Here is a 17,207-nt window from a genome sequence, read left to right on the forward strand (position 1 = left end):
AGAAGGATGAATAGTCATACGATCAACTCAGATTCCTCCCTGACATTCTTCTACAGCTTTATTCTCGTCCTTTGGGAGCCGAGATGTTCATTTTCCTACATTCTTAGCTGCCTACACACGGCGACTTTTCTCCACGGTGCCTGATCCCTGCTGCATCCTCCTTCTCTAGTGGCAACAGCAAATGGCCACACAGAAGGCAGACATTGCACCCAACTGAGGAGAATGTAATTCACTCATTGCCAGTCACAGACCTTGGCTCACCGATTTACTAAGTATAGATTTTATTTCTATCCCTCACCTACCTGTTTTGCCAAGGGAACTAAGAAAAGAGCATCATCAAAAATTCAGATAGGTATAGTTCTCACAAGATGAACCAGATCCAGTACGGCATCACTGCAGACATACACACAGAGCTGCATAAAACAGGAAGAGAGCTGCTAATCACAGCCCCAGAGGGTAGTGGCCAAAGTGATGCCTTGGAGATCCGAGAATGCCAGACTGAGATCACACGGCCTGGGGAATTACCGCCTATGGTCATTTTGGTTTTCCCGGGATAGCCATGTTAATTGGGTGAAATAAAGCATATTTGATTTTCTTATGACAAAAAAGGGCTTTTGCCATTGTCTACAGATGATACTTTAAATCTTTATTTTATGACTAAAGGTGAATTCCAGAGCAACATTAAATGTTGTCCCTTTAAATTTTTAATCATTTGCATAACGATTACCATAATATTCAATTTAAACATAAAATGTAATTGAAAGTATGAGATTAATATGTGGACATGAAATCATATAATGTTCCATGGAAAAAATAGAATGTATAAGGCAAAGAGGTTTAAAGTAACATCAAAACTAACGCTCACTATACAAATTCTATGAAATCCTCATAATTACACTGTGAAGCAGGTGTTGTTAGAGCCACATAATCTCAAACAAATTATTTATTATCTAAAATTACATAGATATTAAAAGGTTAGGCCATATATGAATTTAGGATTCTCTCAAAAATTTTTTCTCTTTCTCCTACATCAAACTTCCCTAAATTATAGAAAAGTCACAATGTTACCAAACATATTCACAAAACACATATAATCTTGAATCCAAATTTCAGTTACAGCAGAAAAAATAAAACTCTAGATCAATCTCAATCGTGTAAATAAATTCAGATTTCCAATCTAAGAGTCTCAATTTGACATACTTCTTTCTCTCTCTTCTTTCAAACCAGGAGAAATATAAATATGAGCCACAACCTTACAAAAGCTAGAAAATATTTACAATTCCACACAACAACACATGAAGAAAACCTTCTGGACATCAAAAGTTTAAACCAGTCAAGACTGAACACCAAGATAAAGTGCATGCCTCTGAAGAGCTTGAGCTAGTCAAGAAGCCCAGAAATCCCTAAAAGAGGTGTGTATACTGAGGACTGAGGATCAAAACCTGTGATCTTTACTTGGAACAGAAATATTGCAGCATGTGAACCCTCCACAGAGTGACAGAGGGAAAGGAGTTTAAAGGGAAACATGCAAATGTATCACCTTTGGAATAATTAGGACACGTGTGTGGTGTAATGAAAGAAGGCAAAAAGATGGGGAAGAAGCCAGACAGATGGCAATTTTCATTCTATTATGAAAAGAAAAGGATAAGTCACAAGTCACATGACGAAATTAACAACTATGAATCCACTCTAAGCCATAGTCAATCCTATAGCCTAGGAGTCATTCTAACAGATGAGAGTGTTTTGGAGACAAGATTCCAAAACTCGTCTGCCTTCCATCATACTTACTACCCCCAGCTCCTCCTCCACAATATCCTTTCACAAGTATCTAGAATATTCAAAGACTAATAATATTATATAATTATTTATAATAATTGTATTACAAAAATAAAACTTGATGACCTTTATAAAAATACTAGAAGAAAAAGGGAAAATTACATAAGGTACAGAACATACAAATTATACCATGAAGCAGTAAAAAACAGGATCAAATTTTCTATGTTTTTTAAAAATATGCCTTCTCTAAAATGTTTTCTCTCTGAAATGATATTTAGAAGACATAATTGAAAATAAATACAAAATAAAGTGATAAAAAATAATCTGGCAAAATTCAGGATGTAATGAGTAAAGACAACCATGAAAGAAATGAAGATCAATAAAAGCAGGAAAAAAAGTGGGAAGTGGAGAGAATAATGCTGCTAAAAACACAGATAAGAATATAAATGACAGGCTTAAATATATCCTGAGCAAAACGAAATAGAAAACACAAGAAGGTGAAATGTAACATTAAAGTCAGGTCCAACAAATGAGAAATTAGTGTGAAAGAGCTCACAATATCTGGTTAAAAAATTCAAAGATAAAAGAAAACTTTTCTGAAATGAAGAAAACATTGAATCTAATGGTTAAAGGGCTTATCTTTATCCAGAAAAAATGTGTTATAGTATGACCACATCAAGGCAGATGCAACTGAATTTACCGGACTTCACAAACACAAAATAAACAACCCACAAAAAAAAAAAAAAAAAATAGAGTCCCCATGAGGCTTTAATGAAGACAACTATTAGAGGCCAGGCGCAGGGGCTAACACCTACAGTCCCAACACTTTGAAAGGCCAAGGCAGGAGAATCACTTGAGCCCAGGAGTTCAAGATAAGACCAGCCTGGGCAACATAGCAAGACCCCATCTCTATCAGAAAAACTTAAAAAAGAAAACTATCCACTAAAAATGAATAGAGATAACATGATACAAGTGAGCATTCTGAAGCCTAATATCAAAATGTTCTGGGGTTTGCGGTTAAAGAACAGAATGCAAATGTTACAAACCATAACTGTATAAAGACTAATTATATTCATAACAAAAATAAGAAGAGAAAGATAGTAGAAATATATTCTGGTCCATTCAACTTTCACAGTGGGAGAGAATCAACAAATTATGTTATGGGTGATTAAATATTATTTTAAAAGATAAAGGTCATTATTAGAAAAATTAAAAATAACAAAATCAAATAAAGTTGAATGACGAAGGTGGGAGAGGAAAGTGGGTTTAAGGGGTAAAGTGGAACTATATTAAAAGAGTCAATGGAGAGCACCCTTGGAAATAACACAAAAATTAAAGAACTAAATATAATTTATACAGCACATAACTAAACTATAAATCTTCAAATTAAAAGAAAATAGGTACATACAAAATATCACATAGAGAGATATTAATACCATGAAAATATTAAAATAAAAGCATAAAATTAATTCATTTATTTACCCTATTAGTATTTTTTGAACACCTATGTGCCAGGTATTGTGCTGAATGCCAGTAAGATATAGTTCCTGCATCTTGGAGTTTTCGTGGAGGAGACAGAGATTAATCAAACAATCACACAAATGTAAAATTGCAACCATAAAAATTACTCTGAAATACAATGAAAATTACTATAAGAGAGGGATTTGATGTGAGTCAGAGAAGTTTCCCCTAAGAAAGCAACACTGAAGCTGAGATCTAAAGGGTAAACAGCAGTTAACTGAGTGGAGAACAAAGGTTTTCCTGCAGGGGGAACAATCTGCTCCCCGAGGCCAGAGTGGGGCCTTGGGAGTTGTGCCTGAAACCACATTGTGAGGAAGTGAGGGGAAGCATTGTGCAGATAATGCTGAAATAAGTAGTGGAAGATGCTTCCTAAGAGAATGAGAAATCCAAGACTACTAAGCAGAAGAATGATTTGACCAGATTTCACATTTGTAAATATCACTATGGTTACAATGTATAGAATGGATTTTAAGGAATTCAAATTGGATACAGGTGAGTCAATTACAAAGCAACATGCTTGCCAAGGCAAGAAATTTGATTACTTAAACTAGATATGGGAGTTTTGGAAATAAGTAGATAAATTTGTCATATATTTGAGATAATAAATCACCATGACTTGATGGTAGACTTAGTTGGAGATGCCCTCACTAGTGCACCATCTAATGCTTCAAGTCTAATAATTATTCAATTCCTCCAGAGCCACCAATCCAATGGTTCTACCATATTTATGCTGTCATTCACTTTACTGATATCCTTCTTACCTTACCTCTTTTCCCACTTTATATTCCATGATCAATACCTTGCTCCCTCGTAATGATTGTACTCACTCTTCCAAACAACAATCCTGATAAATCCTACTCTCTGCCTTCTACATCTTGATACCACACAGCTATATGTGGCTAGATAAAACAATCACACTGACAATCATCCTATGCTTTCTGAATCCATCACTCTTCTACTTTTTCAGATCTTTTCTTTCTCCCTCATCCTTACCATGTAATGAACTCATTTTGCATGTCAAGGGCTAAAAGTTGAATATTTTAAAAGTTCTCATTTTCCCACTACTATATAAACCAACAAATATCTTTAGTCTGCATTCACAAATAACATAACAAATGAGCTCTTCATATTTCTATCTGTGGTGAATTAAGATGACTAGAAATTTTGTGGCACCATCCTGTTGAAAACGTGGGGACATATTCTTTCTCCTTGAACCTGGGTGGGCTCTTTGACTGCTTTGACCAATAAAATACAGTGAAAGTAAAACTTCCAGTTTTGATGTCCAGATGTTAAAAGCCTTGAAGCTTCCATTTCTACATCTTGGAACCAACGTGTGTGGGGTGCTGAGTCGGTATCGAAGAATTCTGCTTATTCTGCTTGCATTAGTCCATTTTCATGCTGCTGATAAAGACATATCCAAGACCGGGTAATTTATGAATAAAAAGAGTTTCATGGAATCACAGTTCCATGTGGATGGGGAGGCCTCACAATCATGGCAGAAGGTGAAAAGTATGCATTACATGGGAGCAGACAAGAGACAATGAGAGCTGAGTGAAAGGGGAAGCCCCTTGTAAAGTCATCAGCTCTCATGAGACTTATTCACGACCATAAGAACAGTATGGGGGAGCCACCCCATCATTCAATTATCTCTCACCAGGTCCCTCCACAACACATGGGAATTATGGGAGCTACAATTCAAGATGAGATTTGGGAAAGGACACAGCCAAACCACCTCATTCTGCCTCTGGCACCTCCCAAATCTCATGTCCTCACATTTCAAAACCAATCATGCCTTCCCAATAGTCCCCAAAAGTCTTAACTCACTTCAGCATTAACTCAAAAGTTGGCAGTCCAAAGTCTCACCTGAGACAGGGCAAGTCTCTTCCACATATAAACCTGTAAAATCAAAAGCAATTTAGTTATTTTCTAGATAAGATAGGAGTACAGGCATTGGGTAAATGCAGCCGTTCCAAATGGTAAAATTTACCCAAAACAAAGGGACTAAAGGCTCCAAGCAAGTCCGAAATCCAGTGGGACAGTCAAATCTTAAAGCTCCAAAATGATCTCCTTTGACTCTATGTCTCACATCCAGGTCATACTCATGCAAGTGGTGGGTTCCCATGGTCTCAGGCAGCTCCACCCCTGTGGTTTTGCAGGGGAGAGCCTTCCTCCCGGTTGCTTTCACAGGCTGGCATTGTATGCAGCTTTTCCAGGCACACAGTGCAAGCTGTCAGTGGATCTACCATTCCGGGGTCTGGAGGACAGCAGCCCTCTTCTCATAGCTCCACTAGGCAGTACCCTAGTGGGGACTCTGTGTTGGGGGCTTCAACCCCACATTTCCATTCCCCACTGCCTTAGCAGAGGTTCTCCATGAAGACCTCACCCCTGCAGCAAACTTCTGTCTGGAGATCCAGGCATTTCCATACATTCTCTGAAATCTAGGTGGAGGTTCCCATACCTCGATTCTGGACTTCCGTGAATCCACAGGCTCAACACCACATGGAAGCTGCCAAAGCTTGAGGCTTGCACCCTCTGAAGCCATGGCCTGAGCTGTACCTTGACCCCTTTTAGCTGTGGCTGGAGCAGCTGGGACACAGAGCACCAAGTCCCTAGGCTGTACACAGGCAAACAGCAGAGGGGCCCTGGGCCCAGCCTATGAAACCATTTTTTCCTCCTAGGCCTCTGGGTGTGTGATGGAAGGGGCTGCCACAAAGATCTCTGACATGGCCTGAAGACTTAGCGATTAACATTTGGCTCCTTGTTACTTATGCAAATTTCTGCAGCCAGCTTGAATTTCTCCTCAGAAAATGGATTTTTCTTTTCTATCACAGTGTCATGCTACAAATTTTCTGAACGTTTATGCTCTGTTTTCCTGTTAAAACTGAGTGCTTTTAACACACCCAAGTCACTCTTGAATGCTTTGCTGCTTAGAAATTTCTTCTGCCAGATACCCTAACTCATCTCCCTCAAGTTCAAAGTTCCACAAATCTCTAGGGCAGGGACAAAATGCTGCCAGTCTCTCTCGATAGCAAGAGACACCTTTACTGCAGTTCCCAGTGAGTTCCTCATCTCCATCTGAGACCATCTCAGCCTGGATTTCATTGTCTATATCATTATTTGACATTTTAGTCAAAGCCATTCAACAAGTCTCTAGGAAGTTCCAAACTTTCCCACATTTTCCTGTCGTTTTCTGAGCCCTCCAAACTGTTTCAACCCCTGCCTGTTACCCAGTTCCAAAGTCGCTTCCACATTTTTGGGTTATCTTTACAACAGCACCCCACTCTACCAGTACCAATGTACTGTATTAGTCTGTTTTCATGCTGCTGATAAAGACATACCTGAGACTGAGTGATTTATGAAGAAAAAGACACTTAATGGACTCACATTTCCAGGTGGATGGGGAGGCCTCACAATCATGGTGGAAGGCAAAAGGCACATCTCTACATGATGGCAGACAAGACAGAATGAGAGCTGAGTGAAAGGGGAACCCCCTTACAAAATCATCAGCTCTTGTGAGACTTATTCAAGACCACGAGAACAGTATGGGGGAAATACTCCTGTGATTCAGTTATCTCCCGTTGGATCCCTCCCACAAGACACGGAAATTATGGGAGCTACAATTCAAGATGAGATTTGGGTGGGGACACAGCCAAACCATATTGCTGCTGAATAGATCATGTAGACAGGCTCTCAAACTACACGGAGAGCAAGAGAGGCCCACCTTACCACAACATTTCATCCAATCCACTAATAAAACAGGCACATCACTGAAACCACCTTCAACTCTCCAGACTACCCAGCTGCCAGCTGAATACCACAGATGGCTACAGTTAATACCACATGGAGCAGAATCATGTAGCTAAGCCCTGCTTGCACTAATACAAGTCCACAATTTTTTTTAAGTTTGTTGTTTTAAGCTGCGAAGTTTTGAGGTGGTTTGTGGTACGTGGAATAAGATGTCACTCTAATATAATATAAACTTAAACTATGTGGCATTGGCTTTGGAATCAGACAATGGATAGAAGCCAGAAGGATTTCACAAAGACTGTTAGTGAAAAGTGAACAGACTTCAAGGAAAATGATAGCAAAACCTGTAAAAGCATTCTGGGAACTGACAGTAAACACTGAATGGTCCTTAAGGAGACTGAAAACTTGAAAGAGCTTAAGAAGTCTACTGGAAAGGGCTTTAAGGATAATGAGAAAAAATCATCAGTGGAGGCTGAGGAAAACGCACCAAAGTCGTATTCTGATGGGAGAGTTAGAAAACGCTTGCCTGGAATGATATAAAATATAGGAAAAATACCGAAAAAGTTTGTGGATCTGGCTGGGGAGATTTTTGGTGTCAACTAAAGAAAAAAATTAAGCTTTTAAGAAATTAAAGTTAGATTTATTTAGGGGTCTGAGAACAAGAGACTGAGGATTACAGCCTAGGAGAAGTCTTTCAGAGAGGTTCTGTCAGACTGCTCTGGTGAAGGTCTTTAGCCCACAGTTTATATGCAGGCTGTACATATACACCATGGAATACTATGCCGCCATTAAAAAATGATATCATGTCTTTTGCTGGAATGTGGATGGACCTTCTATTATACTTAGCAAACTAATGCAGGAACAGAAAACCAAATACAGCATACTCTCAGTTATAAGTGGGAGCTAAATGATGAGAACTAATGAACACAAAGAATAAAACAGACCCTGGGGTCTACTTGAGGGTGGAGGGTGAGAAAAGGAAGAGAAGCAGAAAAGATAACTATTGGGTACTAGGTTTAATACCTGGGTGATGAAATAATCTGTACAATAACCCCCTGTGACACCAGTTTACCTATGTAACAAATGCCCCTAAACTTAAAATAAAAGTTAAAAAAAAAGAAAATTAAAATCTCCTTATCATCTACCTGGTAATATGAAAAACACAAATCTTTCATTCATTCCTTTCAACTGATGAGGAAAATGAGGCATCGGGAGTTAGTAAAAGTCCACATTGAGATATGAGACCCACGACTGGCTGGACGCAGTGGCTCACACCTGTAATCCCAGCACTTTGGGAGGCCGATGCTGGTGGAACACCTAAGGTCAGGAGTTCGGGACCAGGCTGGCCAACATGGTGAAACCCCCATCTCTACTAAAAATACAAAAATTAGCTGGGTGTGGTGGCAGGCACCTGTAATACCAGCTACTAGGGAGGCTGAGGCAGGAGAATCGCTTGAACCCAGGAGGTGGAGTTTACAGTGAGCCAAAATCACGCCATTGCACTCCAGCCTGGGCAACAAGAGCAAGACTCTGTCGGGGAAAAAAAAAAAAAAAAAAACCACCACCATCATTTTGCAAGTGTTACCACTATTGTGTGTTAATATTGTAGAAGTATTCCTAATTATGATTTCTTTGTATTCCTAATTGTAATAGCTTTGTATTTGAAAAATTATTGATTCATACTCTATGTTATTATTTTGTATGTGATGACAACAGAATATATTATCATGCTCCTTTTGTGAATCTCATTCATAATATAAAGTATAAATTTGTGATTTTGCTTTAATTTGAAATATTAATTTCAAATATGTTATCACAATTTGATACAAACTATTGACAGTAAATCTGTGGATTAAGTAATGTCTTAGTAGGTATTGGGAAAATTTGAAACTAGTAACATGGAGGACTATTGTCATTGTTTATTTCAAAGCCAGTTAAAATTCTGCAAAGCAGTGTACATAAAAATAATTTCAAGAAATTTATAAAATACCGAGATTATGGTGTATAAACAACTTTAGATTCTTTGTTTAAGAAATTCTGCCAGTTTGTAATATATGCTTCATTCAAAGTAGCTAAGGGCTGTACCTGGCCAATAGTAGGCACCTAATATTTGTTGAAAAGGAATACTGAGTAGCTGGGACCTCCTGAGTAGCTGGGACCACACACATTTAACCTGTATTTATAAAATTACTGTTTAGAGAATAACATTTGATGGAATCATGCTTTTACTTTCTGCTTATGACTCAATTGTTTGTACTGACATTAACATCCCAAATCCTTAGCATGGCCTACAAGGCCCTGAGCAATGTGGCACCTGCTGAAGCCTGCTGCCTCATTTAATAACTCTTTGTCTCTTTCCCAGATCCAGCCACTCTAACATTTTTTAGCTCCTGGACCAAGACAAGCTCTTCCCAGAACCTGACCTTTGTACCTGTTCTTTATTCCTGGAGTATTTTTCCCCTGACAAATTACTTATCATCTATCATAATTCAGGTTAAATGGCACTAACTCAGGGAAGGCTTCCCTAACTGCCTCCCTTCTCCAACCAAATTAGGAACAATTATATGGCCACATAGTATCGAATCAAGTTTATAATTTTAAAATAATTGGGAGATTTTGTTGTTTAACACTTGTTTTCACTATAAGACTGTAATTACATGCAAGTAAGAACCATGCCTGTTTGTTCACTCCTGCCACAGTCAGAATAGTGCCTGGAATATGCAGTAAGGGCTGAACAAACACTAAATAAATGAACAAGTGAATAAATGGATATTGTCTCATTTTTAGAACAGAGTACTGAAGGGATCATGAACACTATCTGGTATGTCACGTAGGTAATTTACAAGGGCTACAATTTCAGCTCAGATTTACCTTTTCCTGGATACAGGTCTTGATAGGTCTCTTGATGTCATTTCACTTCAGATTCTTCTTTAGAAAACTTGGACAATAGCATTTGCTGTCTTGTCCAAATTGTTACTAAGAATCAAGAGAGATATCTGACATGAAATGACATTGGAAAACATTAAACACGATTGAAATAATGCTAGCCAATATGGTTATTATTAGAAACCAATTACATTTTCAACTTAAAAACAGTAATACTTATTGCAGACTCAAATGTGCTTATTCTAAAACAAGTAAATGTTTGCCTATGGTCTGAGATTCTAATCCACGGAGTTCATTCTAATCCACATTCAACACTATCATGTACCAGTGGGCCTCATAACCCACCTAGCCCTGTGATTTTTCAGGTTCACTTTTCTAAACTTGTGAATTAAATATTTATTTTCTTAGTTCAGAAGAGGAAAAAAACTCTTGTAATTGTTGCCCATTTCAGGAGAAATCTTGCATATGAAAACAAGAGATAAATATACACAACTGAGGACTGTGGTTTAAACAAAATCTTGAGAATGTTTTTTGACCTTATACATTTGTGCTTTAGTATAACAAAATGATATAGACAAAGGTAACTTTTAATAGAACCAGTCACTAAATTAAAAAAATGACAAATTCTTCTGCTTAGCTAAGCAACAGAGAAGGTAAAATACTAATTCAATTCATCAATTTAAGCAATACTCATTAAGAGCCAAGTATGTGCTTACTGAATAAGCTGCTAAGGTTTGGTGGTTACAGAGTGTGCGGTGAAATGATGTCTACATCACAGTCCAACATTCACAGAGTTTAAAAGCCTACCAAGAATCAAGACAGACACAAATACCTAACATAGAAGTTTGTATATGATAAGAGAGCCAGAGTACAATTTAGGAGAAGAAATTGTATGGAAGGAAGGTTCATTTCCATTAGACCAGAAAAGACAGCACATTTGAAGGCCTGAATAAGAAATATTCTGGATAAGATATTGTGGCTGCTACCAGAATGGCTCTTGATGATCTCTACCTCTTGGTATTTATACCCTTATATAATCTCTTTCCTATAGTGTAAGCTGGTCCCAGGTACTTGTTTCTATTGAATAGAATAGAACAAAAGAAATGAGATGCCACTTCTGAGATTAGATTATAAGATACTGTGAATTTCATCTTGTGCCCTCTCCCTCTCTCTCTTTCTCTTGCCCTCTCATTTGAATGAAGCCAACCGGCATGCTGTCAGTGGCCCAGTGTAAGTCCTGTTACAAGAAATTGATGATTACCTGTAGCCAACCCTAAGTGAAGAACTGAGGTCCTCAGTCCTACAAATGGAGAGAAACTGAATCTAGCTAAGAACCATGTGAGTGAGCTGGGAAGAAGATCCACCCTCAGTTGAAATTTAAGATGACATATTGAGCAGACATACTGAGACACACTGAAAGTAAGAGAGCAGGAGGAAACAAAACCAGGGTCATACAAAGAACACAACTGATTTTGAGATTCTCACATAAGTATTACACCTTCAGTGAGCACGTGTACTAGAAATTTAAAAAATAAATAAAATAAACCTTCAAAGTGAGCTAGCAAATAAATTTCCCTATGGTCTCAGCTCTGAGTGGAGAGAGAAAATGTTCCCTGTGGAGTTTATAGCCAGAATCCAGCTCTCAAACAGGTTTCAGCCTGAACTCACACAATCTGTGTGGCTTCCAAATTTGCAAGCTGAGAATTTAATTCAAAGTGGTCTCAGGTTGATAGCAGTCCAAAATGCTAGGTAGGAAAAAAAATCCTCTCTGGACAAATAAATCATCAAAGCAAGCTCATAAGAGCAGGTTTCAAAGGTCATGAGCTTCTAACACACACACAAAAATCACACACACAAAATGGGGGTAGCAGCAACATGGGTAGCGTATTCAAACTTGAAAAGACTTTAAATATTTGTATTATTAGATGTAGATTATGAAACACATATTTTAATGTGGTTAATTTTTTTAAGGAATCAAAACTATGAGTAAAGACCAAGAAAATTGTGCTGGATGGCCACTTCCACCATGGCTCCCCTCCTATTTAAGTCTGGGTACTGTGTCACCCGAAGTCTTCAGGCACATTGTTCCAGGTTTGGGTTTGCCTATGAAAGAAACTCATGAGAGCTGGAAGTGAGGAGTGAAGAGGAGGTCTTCACATAAAGCAGGCTTAAGGATTAGACATAGCAGGTTTGACAGATGTGATGGCTTGCAGAATCCTTTATGAGCTCCCACTGTCCATCTGGATAAGATTTACAGACCTTTCAGAAATTCCTATAAGCTTGGGTTCTGTGCCCACTCTCTAGACTGTCAGGCTAAGATCTCTGATATAAAACAGACCTCTTCTGATTTTGTCTAGCTGCTTTTCTAATATCTATTCACCAAGCTCTTCCAATAATAGCATAAGGCCCTAATTAATATTAAACTTTTATCATTATAATACATAGGATGTCTTCTGTTTTCCTGATCAAATTCTGACTACTATTAAAATATAAAGAATTGTCCAGAAATATATAAAAAAAGAATCACACATTGATCTTCTTTAAATGAAAATATAACAATTGTATGGACTAGGATGATTACAGTTGTTCAGTTCTGACTGTTATTTGAAGAAAAAAGCAATAAGAAGCCTCAGCAACTTAACAGAAGGAGCTGCCATTTACTAGGAGAAAAGATTGTGGATGAGAGTGTAGCAAAGGTCAGAATTCTGTGAAGCTTGAGATGTTTATTATAATGAATTATCTTTTATACTCACTACAATTTCCTAACAATTTTGGGGTTTATATTTTTGAAAGAGATATACCTTTAATTTTCTTTCTTTGTACTATTGTTAGGTAACTTTAATGTGCAGATTATACTACAGTGAAAGTTGCCAATGACAAGGCAAAGTCACTTACATCAGACCCAAAGCAAAGTGGAGCCGGGTCATGAAAAAGGGGATCTTGTGTGTGTGTCCACGATAAGCACTATCACAAGGACTTTCTATAAACTCACAAGAAATTTCTGCCCACCCAGCACACTCTGTTTGTCCAGCTCATCCTGTAGGTGTCTCTATAATAGGACCTATCATAAAAAATTCCTCAAGACTGCAGCATTTCAGATAAGCCACCCTCACAAGAACACTTGCCTAGCAATGGCTGTTTCTGCCAGTAAGTTAACACCAGCTCCTGCATCAGACCCTGTGACCAATGATGTTTGTTTCAAAACAGCTTGCATGGACTTCTTTTTGTCTTTATATATTTTCCTTACCTCAACCTCTTGGGATGCACCTATGATTGATCATAGCACAAATATCTCAGATTATAATCCTTGTTTATTTCCAAATAAATTTATTTCTTTGGAGATCCACTTTTTCTGTTATTATACATTGACATTGTTATTATGAAATTGGTTGGGTGATGTGTCTTATTTTCTTGTCTCCAGAAGAATTTCTGTAACAGTGCAATTAAACGTTCTTTGCATGTTTGCTAGAACTCACCTGTAAAATTGTCTGAGCAACCAAAGCCTGGTTTTTGTGTTTAGTTTTTCTTTTGTGATTGGGGAGGGGGGTTTATCGTACTGATTCAAGGTGTGAAGGTAACATCATTTTGATTTTATACATCTTCTTCAGTCCATTTAAGCATGTTACATAGCGTTGTTTGTTCTTTTCATGATATTCTTTACAGTAGTCTCCTAAATGTTCCCTCTGCTTCTGCCAGGAGCCCCTACAATCAACTCAGAAGCTATAGAGTTTAAAACATGTAACATATTATGCCACCTTTCTTACCGTAAAACATCCCATGGTTTCTCATAGTATTTATAGTAAAAGTGAAATTTTTATGATGGCTTGAGAAACTTTTCCCATTAGATGCCCAAGTGCTGGTCTGGTCTGATCTTCTCATCTTCCCTTGGGTGATTCTGTGGCAGTCACACTAGCCTCCTTGCTGCTCCACAAAAACTCCAGCATGATCCTACTTCAGGATATTTGCCATTGTTACTGCATCTGCCTGGAACCTTTTCTCCCATATAAACATAGAGATTGCTCTTGCCTGTCCTTCAAGTCTATTCTTAAATGTCCCATTCTCTGTGAAGCTTTCCTGCCCACCCTATTTAAATTACAGACTTCACTCCCAATTCCCCATCTACTTTAAGAGTCTTCATTTATCATTCCTTGACAAACTGTAAATATACATGTTCACTTTTTTATCGTCTGTCTCCAAATACTGGAATGTTAAGTTCTGTAATGTCAGATATTTCTGTTTGGTTCACTGGTGTATTCTTAAAGCATGTTACATACTAGGTATACTCAATGAATATTTGTTGAATAAATATCACATTGGGCTTATTCCAGAAATTCAAGCTTGTTTCAATAGTTAGAGCAATCTACAAATGTAATTCATTACATTAACTAATTAAAGGAGCTAAATCACATCACCACCACAATAATGCAGAAAACCACATTTGATACAACTCAATATTCATGTCTGCCTAACAAACATCTCATGATACTAGGAAAAGAGGAAGGGATATATTATTTTCATGTATAAAGCACTAACCATTGTAGCATGCCAATATACTCAAAATTCAATGAAATTCCTATCAAAATTTTAGCATTCCTCTTAGTCCTCAACAAAGCATTTCTAAAATGTGTATAGAAGACCAAAGGGCCAAAAGAGTCAACTTCTGAAGAAGCGCAAAAAGAAAGTTGAGGAAATCTTAAAACATGTTATTGAGCTTAAAGTTGCAAAAATAAACTCATGTACCATAATTGATGAGTAGAAAAATAGACTAGTGGAATAACATAAAAATAAAAACAATGCTTACATAAAATGTTGTAACTGATTTGGATGTCATTAGAAATCAGTAAGTAAATAGATGGACAATGTAATGAAAGATGCTAGGCAAATAATGTGGTAGGGAGAATAATGGCCCTCAAAGATGCCCATGCCTAACCCTGGAACCTGTGAATATGTTACACTGAATGCAATAAAGGCTTATCAGATGTGATTAAGGATGCAAACCGAGATGGAGAGATCTTCCTGGGTTACCCAGATGGGCCCAGTCTAATCACATGAGTTCTTAAAAATGGAGAACCTTTCTTAGCTGAGTCCAGAGAGAGATGTGACAATGAAAGAATGGTCAGAGAAATGTGACATTGCCAGCTTTAAAAAGAGAGAGGAGAGGCAATGAGAAAAGGAATGCTGATGTTCTCTAGAAGATAGAAAAGGCCAGGATATGGATTCTACCCTAGCCGCCATAAAGAAACATGCCTGTCGACAACTTGATTTTAGTTCACTAAAATTCATGCCTGATTTCTGACTTGTGTACACTGTAAGATGACAAGTTTGTGTTATTTTAGGTCACTTAGTTTGTAGAAATTTGTTACAGCAGTAATAGAACAAGTGGTTATCCATATGAGGCAAATTAGATTGGATACCTATCTCCAATAGAAATCAATTCAAGGTGAATTCCAGGAAAATACTTAAAACATTTAGATTAAAAATAAATGAGAATTTTTGTTACTTTTTGTAGGTCATAGAACCAAGAAAAACAAACATTAAGGAGGAAAAATGAACATATGACTACATCAAAATATAAAGCTTCTCTATTTGGATGATATCATAAGGTGACAAATCATAAACTGTAATATTTACAACATATATATAAGTGAATAAATATACATTTAGAATATATATGAACTCCCAAAAATCAACAGGAAAAATAAGACATAGAACAAGCAAAATGCATAAACAAAAGAAGGCAAAACAAAAATAATGACTCATAATTATATGAAAAGAAGCTCATCTTCATAGATGAGCAGATAAATGCAAATTAAAACCACCCTGAGATGCTTTTTACATCCATGAGCCTGATAAAAGTTAGAGTCTAAAAGTAATAATTAACAAAGATGGGAAGTAACAGAAAATCTTGTCCATTACTGGTTAAAGTATAAACTGATACAGCTACTTTATAGAATATTACATTATAGAATAAAGTTGTGAGTATGTATATGCAGTGACTCAGCATATTCATTGCTAGTATGTACTCAAGAGAAACTTACAGGAGTGGACTAGGAAGTAAATACAAAATGATTACAACATTGTTTGTTATATCAAAAAATAAAAAAGACACCCAATTTTCCAGCAAAAAAAATAAGTAAAAATAAATCCTGGTGTATTCTAACAATGGAATAATATATAGCCATTAAAATAAATCAACTATTACTGTACATATGAATGTAAGTATCAGCAAAACATATTGTTTAGTGAAAAACTAAGAAGCTGAAGAAGAATATATACAATATGGTTACATTTATATGAAGTCCAAAAACTTGCAAAATAAAGAAATGTATTTAGAAATAGATTCACATGTGAGAAAACTAGAAGAAAATTAATGAAAGGATAAGAGGGATAGCAGTAATTCTGAGTAGTTGAGGGAATTTCAATTGGAAAAAAATAATATCATATTCTTTAAGTCAGGTAGTGGGTATTAGCATTTGTTTTACCATCGTTCTTTATTCTTATAGCTACACTATATATTTTCAATGTATTTAATGTATTTTTTGCATAATTAAATATTATGCAATAAAAATGAGAAAACAAAAAAGTAGAAAATGATAAATTACAATAAAGAAATGGAGAAAAAATTATAATCTAGTTGAGTAATGGTATATTACATAGCTATTTTCTTAAGTAGATGTATGTACATGATGTATGCACGATTGTACATACATGTTCTTAATTATATATAAATATATATGTACATATTTTTAATATAAAATACTAAACAAAGTACACCAAAATATTAGCTCCTATGTTAGTGAGATAATGTTTTGTTTTTTTGTATTTTAAGTTTTACATAGTAGGTGTATTTTTCTGTTTTCATACTGCTATAAAGAACTGCCCAAGACTGGGTAATTTATAAAGGAAAGAAGTTTAATTGGCTCACAGTTCAGCACAGCTTGGGAGGCCTCAGGAAATCTACAATCATGGCGGAAGACAAAGAGGAAGCAAGCCAGCTTCTTCGCAAGGCAGCATGAAGAAGTGCCGAGCAAAGGGGAAAGAATCCCTTATAAAACCATCAAATCTCGTGAGAACTCACTATCGCAAGAACAGCACAGGGGAAACTGCCCCCATGATTCAATTACCTCCACCTGGTCTCTCCCTTGACCTGTGGGGATTATGGGGGCTATGGGGATTACAATTCAAGACGAGATTCAGGTGGGGATACAAAGCCTAACCATATCAGTAGGCATGTATTGAATTTTAAACTCAGAGAAAAATACTAGTGTTTTTATAGG

The sequence above is a fragment of the Homo sapiens genome, chromosome 19, assembly GCF_000001405.40.
Source record: "Homo sapiens chromosome 19, GRCh38.p14 Primary Assembly".
Lineage (NCBI taxonomy): Eukaryota > Metazoa > Chordata > Mammalia > Primates > Hominidae > Homo > Homo sapiens.